Source organism: Homo sapiens, chromosome 13 (assembly GCF_000001405.40).
Source record: "Homo sapiens chromosome 13, GRCh38.p14 Primary Assembly".
NCBI classification, from domain to species: domain Eukaryota; kingdom Metazoa; phylum Chordata; class Mammalia; order Primates; family Hominidae; genus Homo; species Homo sapiens.
In genome coordinates this window covers 106,680,609-106,685,775 of record NC_000013.11, presented here as the reverse complement: position 1 = coordinate 106,685,775, position 5,167 = coordinate 106,680,609, and the positions used below count along the sequence as shown (strand labels likewise).

The following is a 5,167-nucleotide window of genomic DNA, read 5'->3' as shown; positions in this document are numbered from 1 at the left end:
TAGTAGCAGCTCTGCTATTTTCAGTCAGACAGCCAGTTAGTTATAAATGAAAAATGTATTTTTTCAAGTACTCTAAATTAGGAGAAAATTTGGGGGATGGGATTGATAACCTGACAAGAGAGAATGAATGTGAATCAGAGAGAAAGCATTGAAACTTAACAACAGACTATTTGTCATGTAGCTTTATTGTCTCCATATGCAACTATTAAAATAGAACAACGCAGAGACAATACATGAAGCTATAGCTCAAGTTCAATCTTCAATTATATGCTTTTTGATTATGTATTCAAATTGCCCCTCAACCCACTTCTTATTGTCGGAGTTGAGGATTTCTGGACAGAATCAGGAAACTTTATTGGAGCGACCGCTTAATCTAGAAGACTTTGCTGAGCACAATTAACTTTGCGTAGCTGCTCCCTGAAGCTCAGCACTCCCATCTGGCTTCACCCTGTGCAAATGTATAAAAGAAAAGCTTTCAAGCGGGAGGAACACAATGTGAAGGATGTCTTATTTTCGTCTATAGTCTCAAACAAAGCTTGGTGACACATTTGCTTAAAAACACAGTTTATCTGAGGGTATGTGTGTACACATGTGTGTTTAGGATTAAATAAAGGCTCAGAAGAATAACATACAATGTCTTCTAAAAATTGAAAGGACTGGTGTCTTTTTAAAGCATACATAGAGCTTGGCTAGCAAATGACAATAAATCCACCTTTCCCCATGCTGTAGATGTAAATAATTAACAGGGATGTAATTTAAAAATCTCTAGGATATCAAAATATTTCATTAAAAAGGAATATCTCATGCACGGTCAGGTGGGCAGGTTGACTTAACAGCCCCAAATAACCAGTCAGACTTTTATCTCTGAATTAACTGGATTCTTAGCTGAATTGATCCACTGTCCACTGTCTCGTACTTACAGGAAGACAGTCAAAGTCAGCTTTGCGATTATGATCGCCTCATATACGGCATCCTTTTGCATCCTGTATAAGAACTGCAGAACACTCCCAGAACAAATCAATATCAATAGCTAACATACATTTCCAAATGTTTTCCTTTCTAATTTATTTTATGCAATTCTTCCTTTTTCTTTTCCCAAAAATACCCTCTTCTCTTTTTCCATTTCTATTTTGAAAAGGTAAAAATATCTTTCAGAAACCTAGAAACTCCTTAAGCTTCAATGCGTAGTTAGAACTGTCACATTAAAGATAAAAGATGACACGAACAAAATCAATGAGTTTTAGAAAGTCAGTTGAGAAGATATCATCAATTTCAAGTACTAAGAGAAAATAAATTCTTCTTGAAAAGAAGCTACATCCAGATCTAGGAGGAAGGAAGAAGCTCTTGAGGGTGACAACTTTAGACGTTGGGAACGAGGGTTCCCGTTAGTCAGACATAACATAGGGCAGCCATCTGCAGCAGTGGTTCTCAAACCGCAATGTGGCAGAGAATCACCCGGAGGAGGAAGGGCATACTAACACAGAGTCCTGGGCCACCTCCTCAGAGATTCCGACCTTGTCCGTCTGCGAAGTCCAAGATTCTGCATTTCTAAGCCTGCAGATAATGTTGGTGTCACTAGTCTGAGGATAGAGATCTGTTCAACTACAGGACCAGCTCCAGGACCAACAAGAAGCCTGGGATGAAGCAATACAGACTCCTCTGCCCCAAGAGCCTGCCTGGTAGGCACCTCCTCACATAAGTGGTGTCAGTAGGAAGCAACTTGATCTCCTTCCCCCTGACTTCCTGGTGACCCCCTAAGGACTAACTCAGGGTTCACTCCAGCTGCAATCTTACAGTAGGCCTGGTGTCATTTTTCACCAAATGTCTTCCTCCAGGAGTACCTTTCCAACTGCTTTCTGAGAAGTATTGTGATCTAAGGGGAAGAGCAAATGATTTCTACAAAGTTGACCTGCTCTTGAACCCTTGCACCGTCTGTATTAGTTTTATGAGCTCAAGCAAGTCAGGTAATCTCTCCAAAGCTCCATTTCCTTAGGTATGAAAATGGTGGTGTTAATAAAAAATAACATATACCTAGACAAGGTCCTTGTGAAGATCAATGAGATAAAGTGAAAGTCCCTTTGAGGCTGTAAAGCACTCCAAATACTTCAGGGACTATTACAGATTCCTGAAAACGTTTTAATAAGGGGAACAAGGTTTTTTGGGAACCACGAAGAGACTTAAAATGCATAGTTACATGGAAGGCAAGTGAAAGAAAATGAAAGTTAAATAATTCTGTAAATAGACAAGTGTCATATCTGGTTATCTGAATGTTTCCTGTTTGGATGGTAAAGAGAGGTGAAAGTCTGAAAAGGCAAGAAGAGAAAGAGTAAATAAAAAGCGGGAAGAGGACTCTCTGATGACAAATCTTGCCGACCTCACAGCTGTGCCTAAAGACAGCTTCGTTAACCTTCAGTGGGACAGAGAACAAAGAGCAGCAGTGTGTGGTGGCACCAGCGGGCAGCTTCACGCTCACCATGTGCTGATGAATGCCGGAGATTTCTGTGCCTTCTCTGAGCACTTCACACGCGGAAGTCTGGTTCTAGAGAGTTCTTTTTTTGTTTGTTTGTTTGTTTTGAGATGGAGTTTCACTCTTGTGGCCCAGGCAGGAGTGCAATGGCAAGATCTTGGCTCACTGCAACCTCTGCCTCCTGGGTTCAAGCCATTCTCCTACCTCAGCCTCCCGAGTAGCTGAGACTATGGCATGGGCCACCACGCCCAGCTAATTTTTGTATTTTTAGTAGAGACGGGGTTTCACCATGTTGGCCAGGATGGTCTCAATCTCTTGACCTTGTGATCCACCCACCTTGGCCTTCCAAAGTGTTAGGATTACAGGCGTGAGCCACCACGCCCAGCCTAGAGAGTTCATTTTTGAAGGCTTTTGAAATTATGTAAATGTTCTTCTTTTAAAACCATATACTCATTTTAATAGGGTGCATGCCTCCAGGAGACAAATATTGTTTTTAAAAAAAATTTAATGATAATATTCTACTGCTAAACACAGCCTTGTAGACTAGAAATTACAAGAAATGGTTTCTGTTTCTGTCTCTATCTCTTCTCATTCTATGAATTTATTTATTTATAATCTGTTTATTATAATGTTTATCTCAGAGAGAGATTAGGAACTTTAGCCAATGTTTTTTGAACATGCAGAAAGTCCCTGTTGTAAGATTTAGAAGGAATGAAAATGACATTAATATATTACAAATAATCAAAACGTAGAAGCAAAAGAGATGACTGAGTTCCAGATGTTTCCATTACTCTTTAATTTTTTTTAATAAACTTCTAGACATTTTCTTTCTTGAGATAGAATCTTTCCATTAGGATGGTAATTTGCAAAGCAGAATCTTTGGGTTTCCTCAGGTTAGCTTGTTTTTCTTCTTTTTAAATAGATAAAAGTTCTGTGAACAGGTTATTTAAGGGGCCGTTTATCATTTGCAGAACATGCAGTCGACACAGGAAGGGGATCGTGCCCATCACATGTGTTTCGTCTTGCCAACAGAAGAGACCCCCTGAGACTTCTATCACAAGTCTGGGTCTGAGATCAGTTTCACAACTTGCTTTGAATTCATATGAGTCCTGACTGCTAAATTTGCAAATGCTTCCACATAAAGGTTATGCACCCACTGTACACGCAGCAGCTATTCAAAAAGATAGCCATATTGGTTGCTAGGAGATAGAGGGATCCTCTCAGAGAAAAATCAGTCCTGACAAAAAAAAAATTTTTTTTACATAAAGACCTTTTAAATATAAATACCTTTGACAGCAGCTATTATTATTCACTGAGTTCCTTCACATCTGAATAAATGGCAGAAAAATGATATTATTCATATGCCATTATACACTAAAGTGTTAAAATAGAAGAGTCTTATTTCCTTCTCTCACTCTTGCTCTCTCTCCTTCCTTTGTTATTGCTAAAGAGAAAGGAGAAAGCTGGTTTTTTGTTTCTTTCAATTGAATTTCTCTGCTTTCCTTTTTAGATTCCTAGTATAACAGACACCTCTCAAAACCCGAGGCCAAAGATTTGGATTATTGCATTTTTCCTTCCAGATCCAAATGCCTTTTTTAAAAGCATGGTCGAAATGGAGAAGAGAGAAGCACCAGCAAAACTGATAAGAGTGCAACCAACTGCTCCCCACGGTTAGTTCAGGAAAGCAGGTGGGAGGCTGTGCTCCTTGAAAGCAACCATCCACCCAATTTTATTTCAACAATGTTTGCAATTTTCTTCCTACTGGGTTGACTGGAGGCACAGCTGCCCTATATGTGGGTGCATGTGCTCAGCTTTTGCTAGAAATGACCTAACAAATAAAACATGAAACAAGTAATATACTTGCTGTTTATAAATTGTGTCGTGGATAAATGAAGCAGCAATGGGTCCTAATTCAGTGTGCCCTGCCTGCCCATTGAGGACTTGAGAAGCTCACAGCTGAGGCTCACAAAGGCACGCTGTGGCCACAATGTGGGGGCGGTGTCCATCCGTGCCTCCCTAGAGCCTGGAGACATGCAGCTCCAAGGCTCACAATAGGAGATCACTGTTGAAACACATTCATTACCATGAGAATGGCCACCCCAGACTCCAAGTGTATTATTTTTGTTGATATTGTGAATACAGTACAAAGTTTCTCAAGATTTTTTTTTTTGTAGCGTGCCTTAAAAATCAGACTGAGACATGTTTCCTTATCCAAATATTGACAAGCATCTCTCGGTTTATTTAGCATTTTCCTGTGAAAGGCTCAGTATGGTAATGTCCCTTCATTCCCTTTCACACATTTGTCCTGACTCTTGGCACCAGGAAGTTCTTATTGTTCTGCTTAATGCTTACTGGCCCAGTGACATTTTTTTTCCCTGGTTAGTGACAGACATGGTATGTTTCCTTCCTCAGAGTTCCCATGAGAGTTTCTCGTACTATGTTCCACATACACCAAAAAAGGCAACATATCTGTAAGTTCTCCTGTTTCTGGTGATTTCCTACTTGCCTTTTTTAACACCCCAGCCAAAGCCATGGCTAATTGTATAAATGTCAAATGAAAAAGCCCCTCAAAATTCAACACACTCCCTATAAACTCATGGCATGTGAATCTACTACCGAATTGTGGCAGCATCCCTTCGAGAATAAGCCAAGGAGGTTACATTCTGCCTCCTGATAATTATCAAAGCTCCAGGGGCTTAC

At 40.0% G+C, this 5,167-nt stretch overlaps 2 annotated features.

The window, feature by feature from the left end:
* Nucleotides 4,294-4,894: an enhancer, noted in NCBI's record as "OCT4-NANOG-H3K27ac hESC enhancer chr13:107333230-107333830 (GRCh37/hg19 assembly coordinates)". NCBI's record gives its function as "activates a minimal SCP1, AML or CMV promoter by ChIP-STARR-seq in primed H9 embryonic stem cells {active_cell/tissue: H9 hESC(primed)}" and the evidence as "EXISTENCE:reporter gene assay evidence [ECO:0000049][PMID:30033119]".
* Nucleotides 4,301-4,595: a silencer, noted in NCBI's record as "tiled region #8524; K562 Repressive non-DNase unmatched - State 24:Quies". NCBI's record gives its function as "represses a minimal TATA promoter and a strong SV40 promoter by Sharpr-MPRA in K562 cells {active_cell/tissue: K562}" and the evidence as "EXISTENCE:reporter gene assay evidence [ECO:0000049][PMID:27701403]".